Here is an 18,220-nt window from a genome sequence, read left to right as displayed (position 1 = left end):
AGTTTGCAGTGAGATGAGATCACGCCACTGCACTCCAGCCTGGGCGACAAGAGTGAAACTCTGTCTCAAAAAAAAATACCTAATAAGGCTTGATTGAACTCAATAAGTTGGAGGGTGTACACACACACACACACACACACACACACACACACACACACCCCTTGAGTGAACTCAATAACTTGGAGGGTGTACTACTCTCTCTCATACATACACCACACACCCCACTCATGTTAAATTTCAGATTTTCTATTTGTGTGATTTCATAATCTTTTTTTGTTTTCACTTAAAACAAAATGATCATTTCCCCTTCTCATTAGGCATACTTGTGCAACATCATTTCTGATGGCTGCTTAGTATTATGCTCTATGAATGTATCATAATTTACTATGTCTCCACAACATAAATATTTTGCGTTTAGTGGGCAAAAAAAAAAAATTTATCTGACATTTTCTTATGTCTATCTTTCCTTTAAAATCTATTTGTATCTAAAATGTTAAAATATTGCTATGGTTAGTCATACAAAATCATCTAATCATCTTTGTTTAATATCTTTTGTAGCATTTATGGTATTTATTACATTCTAATTTGAATAAGTGATAGACATGATTCATTAATTCTACTCTATTATAATCCTCCAAAGGTATGTAATATATTTTATTCAGCTTTGGATTGCCCCTCCTATTCCCCGCCCTCAGTATCTAGCTCAGTACCATTATTAAATTAGATACTCAATTATATGAGTGATTTGTCCAGAAGACGTTACCCTGATAAAAACCATTATGTCCATTATGCTATCTAGATCTCAGTGAGATACTTTAGTTCAGGGTTCTCCCAAGGTGTAATTTTTTTTTTTTGGCGGGGGACGGAGTTTCACTCTTGTTGCCCAGGATGGAGTGCAATTGTGAGATCTCGGCTCACTGCAACCTCTCTGCCTCCTGGGTTCAAGCCATTCTCCTGACTCAGCCTCCAGAGTAACTGGGATTACAGGCGTGAGCCACCACGCCCAGCCCCAAGGTGTAATTCTTTAGCATTTCCTTATTCTGTGACTTACCTCTATTATCCTTTCCCCTCCCTCCTTCTCATCCACTACCTTTTTTGCTTAAGTCAATTGAACAAAGTCAATTTTGGTTTGTTTTGCAACCAAAGAAGCCTAACCGATAAAGGCTGAAACAACTTTGTAATTGTTAACAGTCATTTGTTGGCTGAGCAAAATAGCGAATGTATTGAAAACTAGTTAAATGTGCACTGAGAAAAAAGAAAAGGAGACAAGAAACAGGAATATACTAAAACAGGAAGACACTGATTACACCTACAGAAGGTCACTGTAGCAATACAATTATCCTCATTTTGGACAACTTCTCCCTATTGTTTTTATACTTACAGTTGTTCTGGACAAAGACTTTGAAGTCATCCAAAACTTTTCTCTTTCAAACACTCATCAAATACATTAGCATATCTTTTTTGCTCTACTATATATGCAGAATCTGGCCACTTCTCTCATCGTCACCGCTATTATCTGCTCCAAACTACTATCGTCTCTTCTCTAGTTATTGCAGTAACCTCCTAACTGGTCTCCTGACCCCTTCAGTCTATTCTCAACCCTACAGCCAGAGCGATCTTTTCAAAACTTAAATATGATCCTGTCATTCTTTGCTCAAAACTTTCCAATGGTTTTCTATCTCATTTAAAGCAAAAGTTAAAGCATAATCCTGAATATGACCTATTAACACCATACATGACACTGGCTCATTACCTGCCAGCCTTAATCTCCACAACTCTCCCCCTTACTTACTCTACTCCAGCTGCACGTGCCTCCTTGCTAATTCCTGAAAAATGTCTGATAAACTTCCTTCACCCACACACACCCCCTCAGAACCTGTGCACTTGCCACACTCTGCCAGAATACTACTTCACTCTCTTATAATAAAGCAGCCCCTTTAAGGTCATGCCATTCAACTCCCTCATCTCTTTCCCTAGTTACTGCCACCTATCAAATTCCTCTCTCAGATTCTAGTCATCCTAAATCCCACCATCAACCTGAGTTTATCAGATGAAATGGAAGCGGAAGTTGTTGGGTGGGGCTTCTGGGATGCCCTTTTTGCCTTTTTCCCCTTCCTCCTTCTTGCTTCATATAATGCTGAAATAATGCCCTGAGCTCCAGCAGTCATCTTAAGCCATGAAAGCATCCCTAATGATGGAAGCAGCATACTAAGAACAATGGAGAGAAAAATGACAGGAGTCTGGGTCTCTAATCCCTGTGGAGGAGCCATCACACCAATCTTGTAAATGTTTCTCTCTATATTTCTTTATAAATAAAACACAGTACATACATTCTGGATTACAATTGACCAGATTTAATAAATCATGTATATAACTTACTCAAGTTAGAATCTAATAAATACCATAAATTCTGTAAAAAATGTGAAACGAAGCTGATTTTTTAATAAAAATAAACTCATATACAATATAAGGCATTGTTATTGGGGGTTACTGTTATATGCAGTTGAATTTAATTCTATGTATAGTTTTTCCAATGCATATTGCCTAGCGTTCTGCTAGTAAGGAAGAAGTAGAAACTGGATACTGAGTAAACAACTAGGAGTCTCTGTCACACTGAACAAGCAACAATCCACGTGGGTGGCCCATAAAGACCTTAGCCTTCGAGTTCCTTGATGTCATCTTCAATGACGTTCTGCTCCATTCTAACTCAGCTAAGCACAACCAAGGTTACTCCAGACCTTATCACCACTAGAAACTGTTCCATCTCCATAATGGCTAATTTGGGTATCCTGTTCTCTGACTTCTTTTTAGCTTGCTTGTTTAATTTTCTCTACTATAATTTCACAGACTTTAGCTCACTAATTCTTTTACTTCAATCTCTCGGTCATCTCCTTTCTTCCTTTCCTTCTTATCCATGATTTCTTACCCTTACATTCCATGAACCATCATTTTAATAACACTCTTTACATCCCGTGAGCTCGATACCGGTTTATCCAATTTGCCTACTAGTCATCTCCACTTAGATGTTCCACAGACACCTCAAACTCAATGTCTAAAATATCTTCTACTGGCCGGGCGCAGTGGCTCACGCCTGTAATCCCGCACTTTGGGAGGCTGAGGCGGGTGGATCACGAGGTCAGGAGATTGAGACCATCCTGGCTAACAAGGTGAAACCCCGTCTCTACTAAAAATACAAAAAATTAGCCGGGCATGGTGGCGGGTGCCTGTAGTCCCAGCTACTTAGGAGGCTGAAGCAGGAGAATGGTGTGAAGCCAGGAGGTGGAGCTTGCAGTGAGCCGAGATGGCGCCACTGCACTCCAGCCTAGGCGACAGAGCATGACTCCGTCTCAAAAAAATAAAAAATAAAATAAAATAAAATATCTTCTCCTCTGACCTGTTTTACCCCTTATGTTGGTGAATGGCACCACCATCTACTCAAATGCCTTACCTGGACATAACTCTCTTCCTTCTCTTTTATTTCTCCCCACAATAGCCAGGACTCAGAGGTAACTCTAAAAGAATCCCACATTTCTATTGCCAGGCCCTTAGTTTGTCCTTCTATATCTGAAACAGATTACTAAAAATTCTTTCTACACAAGGCACTAACTGTTCTTCCTGCTTTTACTCGAATGCATTCTCCCCATTCTCCATATTGCATCTGAAGTAATCTTGCTAAAATGCACATCTGATCATGACACTCTCCTATTAGCTTACAGACACAAAGGAAAATTTCAGGAACCAGGACAGCCTCAGGGAGAAGAGAAACAAATTAAAGCTGCCAGGACATTTTCTTGTCTCTCGTTTCTCTGCCTACAACTAGCTTTATTCCCTCAAGCTACTTCAAGTCACTGGGAACACAGTCACCAGATGCTCCCAGGTAATCCCGGAAAGCAAAGAAATAAAATTTGATACATGTAAATAGATGCCATTATTATTCAAAAATCACTGCTCCTTCCTGGTGGAGAATTAGACAACTGGTCCAGTTGATATCAAGTTTGGCCACATGACTTGCTTTAGCCAATGACGCTGGGAAGTAAGAGGAAATGACACATCCCACTTCTGAACAGAAACTTTCAGAGAAATGGTGTGGTTCTACCATGCCTTATTTATCTCTAATACAAGAGAAAATGTCTCAGATATGAGCATCTAGCCTAAGTCTTGGAACAAAGCTACACAATGGACATGCAGTATGAGCAAAAAATAAATCCTTGTTATTGTAAGCCACTAAAATATGGGGACTGTTTGTAACCACAACATAACAGACTAAACTTAATTATATAGTATGTCATAAGGAAGGACTGACTAGACAGGCTTGGTTTTGATCACATCCCCAGCTTAAAACCCTTCGGTGATACTCCTGTGCCTCCTGGAGTCCAAATTCTAGCAAAGAATATAAGGCCCTTTCTTTTATGGTCCCACCTCCAGCCTCATTTCTTGGGACTCCTATTCCGTATTCCAACCATCCTGGATTATTTTAAGATTTCTAAACACATCAGGTAGCCTTTACCCTCCATTTTCATGTCAGCTTATTATATGCTATTCTTCATAAAAAGGAATGTTGTTCCTCCTGAGAAATAAAATTCTAAGCCCCCCAACTGACTGAAGTGACCATCTCTTGGCCAAGGAGACCCCAGAGAAGCCCTGAAATCTGAGTTCCCAGCCATGACCAAGTGAAAGGTCAGACACACCTCATTATACCCATCCCTTGCTGCCCAGCATTAGGCTTCTTTCCTAAGGGTTAAACAGAAACCAGCCTTTTTACTTGCTCCACTGCTAATATAAACCAACCTCCTGACATTGCCCCTCCCTCTTGTGGTTTCCTCACAACCACCAACCAGCATTCCTTCCTAATAGGAGACCACCAACCACGGAGTGGTTCTGGCCAGTCTACAGAGGATGCGCAGTGAGGCTTTTCATGTCCTCTGCTTCACCTTTTGAGGCCAGAGGCTCAAAAACTCCACCCTTGGATCATGCTAATACTGCCTTTTCTCTGTACATGCAACCCATAAAGGGGTAAGAAGCTCAACTGTGCATGTACATGTTTCTCCTTTCATAAATATTCATGACTCCTCCTATAGCTTATTGAAAATGTACATTTCGCCACCTTATTCAGCATAAATCCCTGTCTTATTTTTCTAACCCTCAAAGTATGTTTTCTGATCCTGGCCAGCGGCTCTTGCTATACAGTAAATATTTATATAAATACGTATCTCTCCAATTATATTGTGACCTCCTTGAGAACAGAGACCATATCTTATTTATATTTGGAGCCCAAGAATCTAATGCAGTGCCTGGCACATAATAGAATATCAATATAAGCTTATGAAAAGTGCAAACATATAGTCTTTTTTCAGTGATGTTATATGCAAAAATATGAGACAGGCCCTTCTACCATGTTAAAAAATAATACAGAAAATCAAACCTATTCAACTCTTATTTTGCTTGCATTTTCTTTATCCAGAGTAACTTTCCATACTGAAAAGAGAATGCAAATGGTTAAGAGGAAACTGAAGCCTGAAATAGGAGAAAAGATAATAAAAGAGCACCCAGTAGCTTTTAGTAAATGCAAATATCTAGAACCAGATAAATTACAGCCTAAGATCTCCATGATCTCTCATGAAAAATGGAAGAGAAGCTAGAAGACTAGAAACAATAAAGTGCAATTTTAATTTTCTCAATTTCAAAGGAAAAAAAGAGACTAGATTATTGAAATCATAGATTAAGGGTTTAACAAAGATTTCCTATGTTAGCCTACGGTGGGGTAGGGAAGGGGTACAGAGAACACAGTGAGTCAGAATGGGGTTCACCAAGAAAAACAATCATGCTAACCTCATTTTACTTTTGACAAAAGTATTAGACTAAGAGATCAGAGAAATAACATAAAGTAGGTCCAATACATATTGCTGAAATCAAGATTAACTTTCTTATGCTAGTTAAGTGATAGATTTACAATTGGTTGAACAACGATTCTAAGATTATTAATCAATTGTTTAATGTAAATCTGGAAAGAAGTAACTAACAGTTGCCACAGAACTCTCTATTTGGCCTTATCTTAGTAGATGTTTATCAATATTGTGAAGATTTAAATGGTAGCTTATAAATTTTCTGGTGATCTAAACCTATCTATAAAGATTAAATAATACCATTAAAGATATAAGAGATATCATTAAAGATTATAAAAGATCAAATATCTGAACATATAGAAACAACGTGCTGAAAATACAAAATAAAATTTATCAAGGGTAAATATACATGCATTTATTTTTTAGAAGTATACAGCGAATAAGAAATCCATTTCAGGCCAGGTACGGTGGCTCACGCCTGTAATCCCAGCACTTTGGGAGGCCGAGATGGGCAGATCACTTAAGGTCAGGAGTTCGAGACCAGCCTGCCCAACATGGTGAAACACTGTCTCTACTAAAGATACAAAAAATTAGCCGAGGGTGGTGGCGTACGCCTGTAATCCCAGCTACTCGGGAGGCTGAGGCAGGAGAATCACTTGAACCCAGGAGGCGGAGGTTGCAGTGAGCAGAGATCGTGCCACTGCACTCCAGCCTGGGTGACAGGGCAAGACTCCGTCTCAAAAAAAAAAAATTGAAACCAATTTTAACATGTGTTGATGAGAGTTCAGTTGACTGTAAGCTCAAGGTGGGCCTTTGTACTGAATTGACAGCTTAAAAGTTAATACAAATTCATAGGTAATAAAATAACAGTACAGTGACCTGAACAAGGAAGAAAATTGAAACAGGTCAAGCAACACCCTGAGAATTATAATTTGAAATATGAAACAGGTCAAGCAACACCCTGAGAATTATAATTTGAAACATGACCTCTTACAAGTGATGCTGATAGCCAGGATGGTAGTAATGGCCTGGCCGACTACATCATATGAAGAATGATTAAGAGAAGCAGGAATGATTTCCATGGAGAAGAGACTATCTGGGGTAGGAAAAGTAAGAGCAGAACTGTCTACAAGTATTTGAATGATTGTATATTGAAGGGCAGGAATCACACTTGTATACATTTTATATTTATTCCCTATGCACCCAGTTCCAAGCTTTGCATATAGTAAATGCTCAAATATTTGAAGTCCAAGATCAATCCACCTGTTGAAGACTAAGCCAACAAAGACAGTTATACAAGAGTATCTGTTGTGATCTGAATGACAACTCAACAAAAGGATGAAGTAGGAGGAAGGAAACTTAAAATCAAAGTAAAAAGCCTTAACTGGCACAAGCTAAGCAGGCATAACTAAGGCACATTACCTTAAAAATCAGAATTTGTCTTATATCAGCTTTTTTTTTTTTTTTTTGAGATGGAGTTTCACTCACGTTGCCCAGGCTGGAGGGCAAAGGCATGATCTCGGCTCACTGCAACCTTCGCCTCCTGGGTTCAAGCGATTCTCCTGCCTCAGTCTCCCAAGTAGCTGGGATTACAGGCACATGCCACCATGCCCAGCTAGTTTTGTATTTTTAGCAAAGACAGGGTTTCACCATGTTGGCCAGGCTGGTCTCGAACTCCTGACCTCAGATGATCTGCCTGCTTCAACCTCCCAAAGCACTGGAATTACAGATGTGAGCTACCTCGCCTGGCCAACCTCAGCTGACATTCTTGACCATACTACTAGTTAAATTTTATTTCCTTTTGTAAGTATTTCCCCACAACAGAGTGAGTCGTCGTTTTCACTCTTCCTTTACAAAGAGAAAAACTGAGGTTGAGGGAAGTTATTTTCCTAGCACCAACATCATAACAATAGTTAACCTTGAATAGGAACCTTAAGCTTCTCGCTTACAAGCCTTGTTGTTAAAATCACTGGACTCATTGTGGGGTAGTAAACAAGTACAGTACTTAACTTAGAACTCAACCTCATTTGGTAATTACTTCAGTTTCACTTTTATTATTCTCCTCCAGTCATCTAATCTCTAAATCCACAAAGAGTAAGCCTACATTAATACTCTAAAACTTACAATCTTATGACTTGAAATTCAAAGGTTAGGAGTACAAAAGACTTATTGAAAAAAATTTTAAAATAATTTAAAATTTTAAAGACTAATATAAAAAATTAAGATTTGAGACCAAAGATTTGTCGCTCCTGTGCTGCTTAAGAAGGGGCCCTGGCACCACTTGTTCCACCATAAGCCAAATCTTGGCCATCAGAGTATACTAGGTACACACCACATCTCTCAAAACCTAAGTGGCCTTCTTTGTTTATCAGAGACTTGGTGCTGAGTGTTATTGCCAGAAGCAGTGGGAAAAAGGTAATGTTATTAAAGGAAGAAGAGGTCTTAATGTGAATGAAGGAGGCACACCAGAGATTCATTTCCTATTTTATATACATATTAGTTTGGTGTTAGTTTCTCAGAAAACTAAAAGAAGGTTGGAATAACACAGGACTTGATGGTGTCCAAGGAGCAGGATTTTAAAATAGCAAAATGCTACTCAGCTCTAGTTGTAGATGTAATAAAGGAATGCCCTAACAAGTGCTCACGCTCTCAACTTCCTGCCCAAGAAGGCTCATTTACATTATAATGGTTGCCACGGTTACTTTAATTCCATCACAGCTCCTGTCTCCAGTTGCTAATCTGGAGCCTGGGTGGTAAAACAACCAAAAACCTTAATTGAGGCTAACTCAAAACTCAGGCTACTCAAAAGTTCATGACCTACAAAAGGATTTTGTTCTAGCAACAAAAATTGCTTACGATAGGAACTGTTTGTTTCCTACACTCCATTCTATCCAAGATCTTACCTGGTATCTCAGGGAACTCTCTGGAAGTCAGTCAGTATTTTTATCTGCTATAAGCAGAGATTCTTGTAAAAAAAAAAAAAAAAAAAGCAAGATAAATAACATAAATTTTATAATGGGTAACAGATCAAAGAAGTGACTGCTTTATTCCAACTATTGGCATTCCAAGCTTTAATCAGAAAAGGCAATTATCTAAAAGAACATGGAGAAGTCTCCCAATGAATTATTAATGTCACTAAGTATTATCTTCTAAGAAGGATATCATGTAGTCCTGGTATACACGTAGTACCTAAATTAGGCATAAGGTTAGTATTTTGTATTTAAGCAACAATCCAACAGAATACACAGTAACAGAAAAAGTGAAGGATGGGGGATTCTTTTTTTTTTTCCTTTTAAAGGCAAAAAAAAAAAAAAATTGAGAACTGTGAATCTGATTTACTTTCAGTTAAATTAACAACAAAAAATATTCCAATGGTAATTCGTTACCAGAAATTTTACTCCCAAAGGTAACCACAATGGGAGAATGGGAGACACAGGGGTACTGATCTGTAGGTGTCCTCCTAATTATCCAACAGATGCTTTAAAGATCACCTCCATACAGAAATGAAGTTTTACATTTGTGTATTTTTACTCTTATTTGCTTATTCTTTTATTCCACTCCTATCATCCACAACACAGGCAATCACTATAATGTGTTTAATGTGTTAACATGTTTTCTTGTAAAGTATGTAATGTTTTACTTACATACATTTTAAAATGTATATAAATGCTATTGTGTTACATATCTCATTCCTTTTCTTTCTGTTGTTACTCAGCACTATGTCTCTAAGATCCTTAGGCTGCCATGTGCACATCTAGACCATTACTTCAAACTGAGGTATAAATCTATGATCACATTTTACCCATCACTGGGGAAAGGGTATGGACAACAAATTACTTTCCACAAGAACAAATACACTGAAATGAATGACCCCTTATGAACCTGTGTGAGAACTTCTTTCACGTATATATACAGGAAAAAAGTTGCTGGGTTACAAGGTATACATAATGCATAATCTGATTAAGTACCATCCTTCAAAATGGTCAGACCAGTCCATACTTCCACCAGTAAGGAACTACCATTACTGAGCAGCCACCATGCACCAGGCACTGGGTAGGTACTTGAGACCCTTTTGCCCCTCCACCCCTCATTCTCTTCTGCTAGTCTTTGCCCCTTTTGCTCTTCATATCAGTTGTCACCATGTCAGAAATATGAAGGTAGGACTTCCTCCCTTGTCTCTGACCACCAAGTTCCCTTTTCCACTCCAAGGATCCCTTAGGCTGCCAAGGCTCCACTAACCATGAAGCTTACTAAAACAAAATCAAACAGCAAATGTTATTTTAAAAAGGTTTGATTCTCAAAAAGTAATTAATTGGGGTTTACCTGTTACACAAAACACTTCTGCATACATTTCCAAGCCATTCCTATTCCTATCTGAGGGTTCTATAGTTCATGTTTTTCTGTTTTTTGGGTGGTCTTGGAGGAACAGCTTCATCCCTTCAGAGCTCTCTTCTTCATAGATAAAATAAAGGGAGCTGGTTATCGGTGTTTTCAGTCTATGCCTCTGCAACTCTAGGGGCTCCTCTGAGGTTGCTCAAAAGGATCATGTCAAGACAAAAGGGGGTTATCTATGCCTCTTCAATTCAACAGCACAATAAAAATTTTATTATTTATAAATTTTATTTTCTCCTAAGACTCGGTTTGTAGAATCAGTTTTATTTAAGAAAAAGTTTATTCACACATTATTAGTTGGAAGTGTTAACTGGTAAAAACCTCTATTGCATTTGGCAATATTTATACAATTAAAAAAAAAACCTTTTGAACAAGAAATTCTACTTATGAGAATTTATTCCACATAATTCACATAGGTGTTCAACAGATATACCCAAAGATATTCATTACAGTATTGATTGTAAGGGCAAAATATTGAAAACAATTTAAATAACCAACAATAAAAAACTGGTTACATAAATTATGGTACATCCATACAATGAAATATTATATAGACTTTAAAAACAACAAAGCAGCTACAAGATAGATTAAGGCGGGGGGGGGGTGGGGGGTGGGGGGCGGGAAGCAAGATGTAAAATGGTAAATGGTGTGTATTGTATGCTGCTACCTTTTGTATATTTTCAAAAGGATATAAGTATTTTATTGGTTTATTCAAGGAAAGACAAAAAAGTATGTATACACTTGTAAATGCATAGGCTACTCCTAAAAGATAAATAAGACATAAGAAACTATTCTAGTTACTCTCAAGGAAGGGAATCAGATGGCTAGAGGATAAGAGCTTTATATTTGATACATAATCTTTTTATATCTTTTGATTTTTATACTATTGCATGTATTCTTAAAATTTTTACTTTATCACTCTAACCTATTATTTTTTCCTAGTCCTACCTATATTAGTTTCTTCTAATCCTCACATTCTAATTGTAACACACTGACTTCCAGGTAGACGGTATTTATTACAAGTCATCAGAAAAAATAAAGTAGTTGAAGGGTAGTAAGAGGCCAGCTTTCCATTCAACAAAGTGGATGTGTCTACACAGGACGGAGGTATTAAGTTTAGTACTGGCACTGCCTCCTTGCAATGACTTCCCTTTGAACTCAATCTCACTTTCTTTTTTTTTTTGTTTTTTGAGACACAGTCTTGCTCTGTCACCCAAGCTGGAGTGTAATGGTGCAATCTCAGCTCATTGCAACCTCCGCTTTCCAGGCCCAAGCAATTCTGCTTCAGCCTCCCAAGTAGCTGGGATTACAGGTGCCTCCCACGAGGCCCAGCTAATTTTTGTATTTTTTTTAGTAGAGACAGGGTTTCACCATGTTGGCAGGCTGGTCTTGAACTCCCAACCTCGGCCTCCCAAAGTGCTGGGATTACAGGCGTGGACCACCGCGCCAAGCCCTCATTTTCATTTTTATTCACATCAACTTCCGTTGAGTTCATCAACCCAGGCCTATCAAATGAATTGTCTTAACCCTAAGAATTGCTAAACATGCGCGTGCGCACGCACACACGCACATACACACACACACACATTCATGTAAATAGATGACGTGTCTATGCAGTTCAAAATTTATTTTTAATTACTTTCGACCCACACTGTCCAATAGATAGTTACTAACCACATATGACTGTTGAACTCTTGAAATGTGGCTAGTCAAATTCAGATATACTGTCAACACACAATATACACCAGATTTCAAAGACTCAAGTACAAAATTAAAAAGATATCTTAATTTTTATATTGATATGTTAAAATAATAACTTTTTAATTTACTGGGTTAAGTATAAGATATTAAAATCAATTTCACTTGTTTCTTTTTACTTTTTTTTCTTTTTTTGAGACAGACTCTCGCTCTGCCACCCAGGCTGGAGTGCAATGGCGCGATCTCGGCTCACTGCAACCTCCACCTCCCAGGTTCAAGCGATTCTCCTGCCTCAGCCTCCCGAGTAGCTGGTATTATAGGCACGTGCCACCATGCCCGGCTAATTTTTGTATTTTTAGTAGAGACGGGGGTTCACCATGTTGGTAAGGCTAGTCTCGAACTCCTGACTTCATGATCCTCCCGCCTTGGCCTCCCAAAGTGCTGGGAGCCACCACGCCCGGCCCTTTTTACTTTTAATGTAGCTACTATTAGAAAATTTAATTCTTTACTTTCTAATTAATTCAGAAATCCTACCACATTTCTGATTAATTCAGTTGCTCACACTCCACAAAAAACTATTCAAATTCTCACCACTTTTTCTCAAACCTCAGAACGCTTTTCTTCTTCCCCATCACAGCCTGTGACCTACCCTCAGAGACAATAGAAAGGTAGCTATAAAGGTGCCTTCAGGTTATTTACAAAGTTCTATCTTCTCTGAAATGAAACTTGTGGATAACACTGCTTTAGCCAGGTTAAGAAAAGCCAAAGTGATCCACAGCTTAATGAGCATTGATGGTTTTACAGGAGTATGGTGCCACAAAGAAAGCCAGAGAGAAAATTGAGACCTGGCTCTAGTTCAACAAAATTGCTATTTCTTTGAAAAATATTAACAATGTACCAATCAAGTACAAAATAATTCAATGTAAAGTATCTAGGTTTTGTCTTTATAATATAATCAGAGTTTCTAGAAAAAACAGTACTAGCTAGTTTCTCTAAAATTAACATGTTGTACTAAGAAGTCACCTGCTTTATTTCAAACTATTTCAGTATCAAGTAAGATAATGGATATTACTGGTTTGAAAGGTATAAGCAGTTACACAAAGGTAAAATTATGTTGTTGTAGGATAATAATGTAATTTTGCTAATACCTTTTCTTCTTTCTGTCCATTAATGGTGCTTTGTACCTAAGGTACTCTAATTAGCCATCTTTGTCCTCCATATCAATCAAAGTATAGCTACCATTATGATTGGGACCTTTCTGATACCTTCCAAAGCTATTTCTTGATCCTTTCTTCCCCACTTCCACTATGAATCCAGTTCTAACTATCTGCAAGACATCTTCATTTAGATGTTATACTAACATCTCAAAGACAGGTAAAAAACTGAACTTGAATTCTTATTCTGTAATACTTAAACCAAGTGCTCATATTTTGATTTTGTGAAATAAACACTTGGTTAAAGTACTACAGAACAAGAATTCAAGTTCAGCTTTTTACCTTGTGTTTGATTAACTAAATCATAATAGTTAAGCAGAAAAGATATAATTATAAACTACATTTGTTTCTCTTTTCTGTAATTATTTTTACTCCTTTGAAAATGCATGAAACATGAAAACCTAAACAAGTATATTTTGAAACATTTGCATTCTAATCTCTAAATATTCAAGAAGAATATTTTTTGACCAGGTAGAGCAGCTTATGCCTGTAATCCCAGCACTTTGGAAGGCTGAGGCAGAAGAATCACTTGGGCCCAGAAGGTCGAAGCTGTAGTGAGCTGTGTCTGAACCACTGCACCCCAACCAGGGCAACAGAGTGAGATCCTGTCTCAAAAATAAAAAATAATTTCTTAATTACAACCTTATAACTCTGGGATTATATTTACAGACAGAGAAACTGAGGTGCTGTCTTAGCAAAATACAGTGTTTGCCATTTGCATTTACAGCTCTGAAGCCTTGGACAAGCACTAAGTATAGTGCTCAACGTCATTTAACAAACATTAATTGAATTTCACTTTATTTGGTCTTGCCATTAGTAAACTACAATTGCTTATCACAGTGCTACCGTAAGAATTAATTCATATTTGTAAGTGCTCTAAAAAGAGTATTCTTCGATACTCTGCTACATGCTACGTCTTGGCAAGGTCCCAATCTTCCTAAGGGTCCCTTCTTCTTCTCAAGATTGGGACAAAGCCTTCATGAGTCTGACTGTGAGTCCCAAAACACCTATCACCTTTGCCTTCTTTTTTTTTTTGAAACAGAGTCTTGCTCTGTCGGCCAGGCTGGAGTGCAGTGGTACAATCTCGGCTCACTGCAACCTCCACCTCCTGGGTTCACGCAATTCTCTGCCTCAGCCTCCCCAGTAGCTTGGATTACAGGCGCCCGCCACCACACCTGGCTAATTTTTTGTATTTTTAGTAGAGACAGGGTTTCACCATCTTGGCCAGGCTGGTCTTGAACTCCTGACCTCATGATCCGCCCACCTCAGCCTCCCAAAGCGCTGGGATTACAGGCATGAGCCACCGTGCCCGGCTACCTTTGCCTTCTTTTTAAGCCAAGAGCCCACCTGCTGAGTCTTCTAATCTTCAAGTGGGACACAGACTTGTCATGATCTCTGCTATCTATTTATCTATCAATCAATCAATCAATCAATCATCTATCTACCTACCTACCTACCTAGCTATCAATCAATCAGAGACAAGGTCTTGCTTTGTCACCCAGGCTGGAGTGCAGTGGCACGATCATAGCTCACTGCAGCCTCAAACTCCTTTGCTCAAGTGATCCTCCCACCTCAACTTCCCAAGTGGCTGGGATTACAGGCATGTGCCACCACCCCCAGACAATATTTTAATTTTTTGGAAAGGTAGGGTCTCACTATGTTGCTTAGGCTGGTCTCAAACTCCTGTGCTCAAGCAATCCTCCTGCATCACCCTCCCAAAGTGCTGGGATTACAGAGGTGAGCCATCACGTGCAGCCTCTGCTACATATATAAAGAACAATTCTGAGAAGAGAATACCAAACAGTAAAAACTACAAGTAGGTTTTAAGCCAAAGGAGTATTAGCTGGTTTAACCCGATGATCTTAAATAAAACCAGTGTTGCTTTAAAACTGTCAAGTATCATGTTGCTATATACTACTCACTGTTCCTGTTGTTAACATCTAGCCAGAGAGCCTGAAAGCCCTTGGGATCTTTCCAAAGGATTAATTATCAGTGCCATCTGACAGAGACTCTACCTAAGAGTGTTACATACAAGAACTGAAAAATTAATACTGAAGTCTCCATGTATGTCATGGCATCAGGGGTTATGTTCATTTAAGGGCAGAGGTAACCAGGTTGCTAAAGGGAGAGAGTATGTTAGAAATCAATGGTTCATGACTGGGGCTCAGCTCGATAATCAGAAACATTTATTATGAACTTATCATGTGCCAGCATTAAATTGTGCAAGATCCACTAAAAGCCAGCCAAATAATTAACAAAAAGCACATCAACAGAAGAGATAAACAGAAGAGATTAAAAACACAAATATTCTCAATGATTCTCACTCAAAAAGATTCTAGAAACCATAAAATGTATAAGCCACTATAATAACTCAGAAGGCAGTGTGACAAGAAAAAAATTAGGATTAAGCATGCAGATTAATGGACGTATTTGAACTGGAAATAATCATTTTTAGATATCCTCATTATCAAACTATATGAGTTACCATTATATCAAGCAGTTTGAGAAAAACAGATGATGCTTACTGGAGCATCACTGAGGTGCAAAGACAGAGAATAAGGCTGGGAATCAAAAACTTCAGCTGGCCAGGCACAGTGGCGCACACCTGTAATCTCACCACTTTGGGACGCCAAGGCAGCCTTTACCAAACTGTAAAGGAGGCGAGATGTGTTTCAAATTTTTTAAATGCACACATGTAAGAGAATAATAAACCTAGTAATAGCTTAATTACTAAGAAGAAACTGGAAAAAAATCCTGTTTAAACTAAATAGACAACAATTCCTACTCTAGAATGCTTCAAGAATTTAGAGAATGAAAACCCTAAAGCAAAGCCAGTTTACACTAATCACTTCTCTTCACACAAGCATCACAAAACAAACTGATTTAATCACTCTTATTTAAAAAAAAAAAAAAAAAAAAAAAAATCTTTACTATCTGCCAGCTGTTAACAATACAGTGAACAAGACACACATGGTCTAAGTCCTGTAGAGTTTACAATTTAAGGGATAAGGCACTTAAAACATCAGACACAGGCTTACCAATCAAGGTATATAAACCTCACTGTCCCCATCCAAATGGAGAAGGATGCTGCCTGTGGATCTTATGGGAATAGATGAAACAACAGGTTTGGACTGTAAAATAAACTACATCTATTTAAAAACACACAACAACATACATTTCACTTTAAGAGAAAACAGCACAGAATCTTTCCCCATAGAAGGGAAAATTATAATAAGCTTTAAAACAGCATCAGAAAACACAAAGGCTTCACCGGTTTTGGTCACAATCTAGACACCCTAGACTTTAATATGGACAAGCAGACCATGAACTGCAAATTTAGATGAGTAATTTGACTAATTCAAAAACTGAAGGACTCAAAGTAGAAACTTACAGGGTATCATAAGGGTTGCTCCATTCTACAAGGAAGAAAGGGATTTTTAATCTTATAGCTTAGCTAAGAGACATATAAATGTCAAGAGGTGATATTCACTAACACATGCCAATTTATTCAGTCCCTTAGTCAGCCAAAACTAAGACATTATAAAGGATATATTAGGAGAAATCTGCCCTACCAACTATCAGTGAACATTACACTTAATGATGAAAGACTGAATACTTTTCCTCTAAAATCGGAAACAAGGCAAACATGTCCACTGTTGCCACTTCTATTCAACATTGTACTGGAGGTTCTAGACAGTGTAATATGAAAAGAAAAGAAATTAAAGGCACATACATTGGACAAGAAGAAGTAAAATGGTCATTTGTAGATAACATGATCCTGTACAAAGAAAATCCTAAAGAATCTTCAAAAAACTAAATACACAAGTTTATTAAAATTGCAGAATACAAGATCAACACAATAATCAACTGTAATCAAGCAATTCCACTCTTAGGTATATATCCAAAAGAATTGAAAGCAGGAGCTCAAAACAGATATTTGCATACCAACTTTTTGGTTTGTTTGTTTTTGAGACAGGGTCTCACTCTGTCATCCCAGCTGGAGTGCAGTGGTGCAATAATAGCTGACTGTGGCCTCGAACTCAGCCTCCCAGGTAACTAGGACTACAATTGCACACCACCATGCCCAGCTAACTTTTTTTTTTGGAAGAGATGGATTCTTGCTAAGTTGCCCAGGCTAGTCTCAACCTCTGGCCTCAAGCAATACTCCCACACTGGCCTCCCAGAAGTTGGGAGTGGTGTGGGCCACTGCGTCCAGCCTTGTACCCCAATAACAGCATTATTCACAATAGCCAAAAGAATATAGAGACAACCCAAATATCCATAATATCCATCAACAGATGAATGGATAAACAACAGAATATTACTCGGCCTTAAAAAGAATGAAATTCTAATACAGGCTACAATATGAAGGGACCTTGAAAACATTATACCAAGTAAAATAAGCCAGACACCAAAGGAAAAAGAAAAGGTACCCAGAATAGGCAAATTCATAGAGACAGAAAATAGAATAGAGGTTTCCAAGGGCTGGGGGACCGGGGAAAAGAAGACAATGTTTAGGCCAGGCACGGTGGCTCACGCCTGTAATCCCAGCACTTTGGGAGGCCGAGGCGGGTGGATCATGAGGTCAGGAGATCGAGACCATCCTGGCTAACAAGGTGAAACCCCGTCTCTACTAAAAATACAAAAAATTAGCCGGGCGCGGTGGCGGGCGCCTGTAGTCCCAGCTACTCGGGAGGCTGAGGCAGGAGAATGGCGTGAACCCGGGAAGCGGAGCTTGCAGTGAGCCGAGATTGCGCCACTGCAGTCCGCAGTCCGGCCTGGGCGACAGAGCAAGACTCCGTCTCAAAAAAAAAAAGAAGATAATGTTTAATACATAGTTTTTGTTAGAGGCAATGAAAAAGTTTTGGGTATAGATAGTGGTAATGGTAATATTGTGAATGTACTTAATGCCAATGAATTGTACACTTTAAAATGGTTAAAATGGGCTGGGTGCAGCAGCTCATGTCTGTAATCCCAGCACTTTGGGAGGCCAGGACAGGAGGGTTGCTTGAGTCTAGGAGTTCGACACTAGCCTGGACAACATGGCAAGATCTTGTCTCTACAAAAAATATG

General features: G+C 38.6%; 1 protein-coding gene across 6 annotated transcripts in view; it reads right to left on the bottom strand.

Annotated features, from left to right (window-relative positions):
* The window catches only part of AHCYL2 (adenosylhomocysteinase like 2), a 205,182-nt gene that overhangs the window by 162,823 nt on the left and 24,139 nt on the right, over positions 1–18,220 (bottom strand). Inside the window, exon 2 of one of the 6 annotated variants that reach the window (XM_047420088.1) lies at positions 8,747–8,808. The exons of the other annotated variants lie outside the window; for them this stretch is intronic. The gene's annotated coding sequence lies outside the window, so the exon portion shown is untranslated. The remainder of the gene's footprint in view (positions 1–8,746; positions 8,809–18,220) is intronic. 6 annotated transcript variants of the gene reach the window in all.

The sequence above is a fragment of the Homo sapiens genome, chromosome 7 (assembly GCF_000001405.40).
Source record: "Homo sapiens chromosome 7, GRCh38.p14 Primary Assembly".
NCBI lineage: Eukaryota > Metazoa > Chordata > Mammalia > Primates > Hominidae > Homo > Homo sapiens.
The sequence above is the reverse complement of the archived record's forward strand: the minus strand, read 5'-3'. Positions and strand labels throughout refer to the sequence as shown.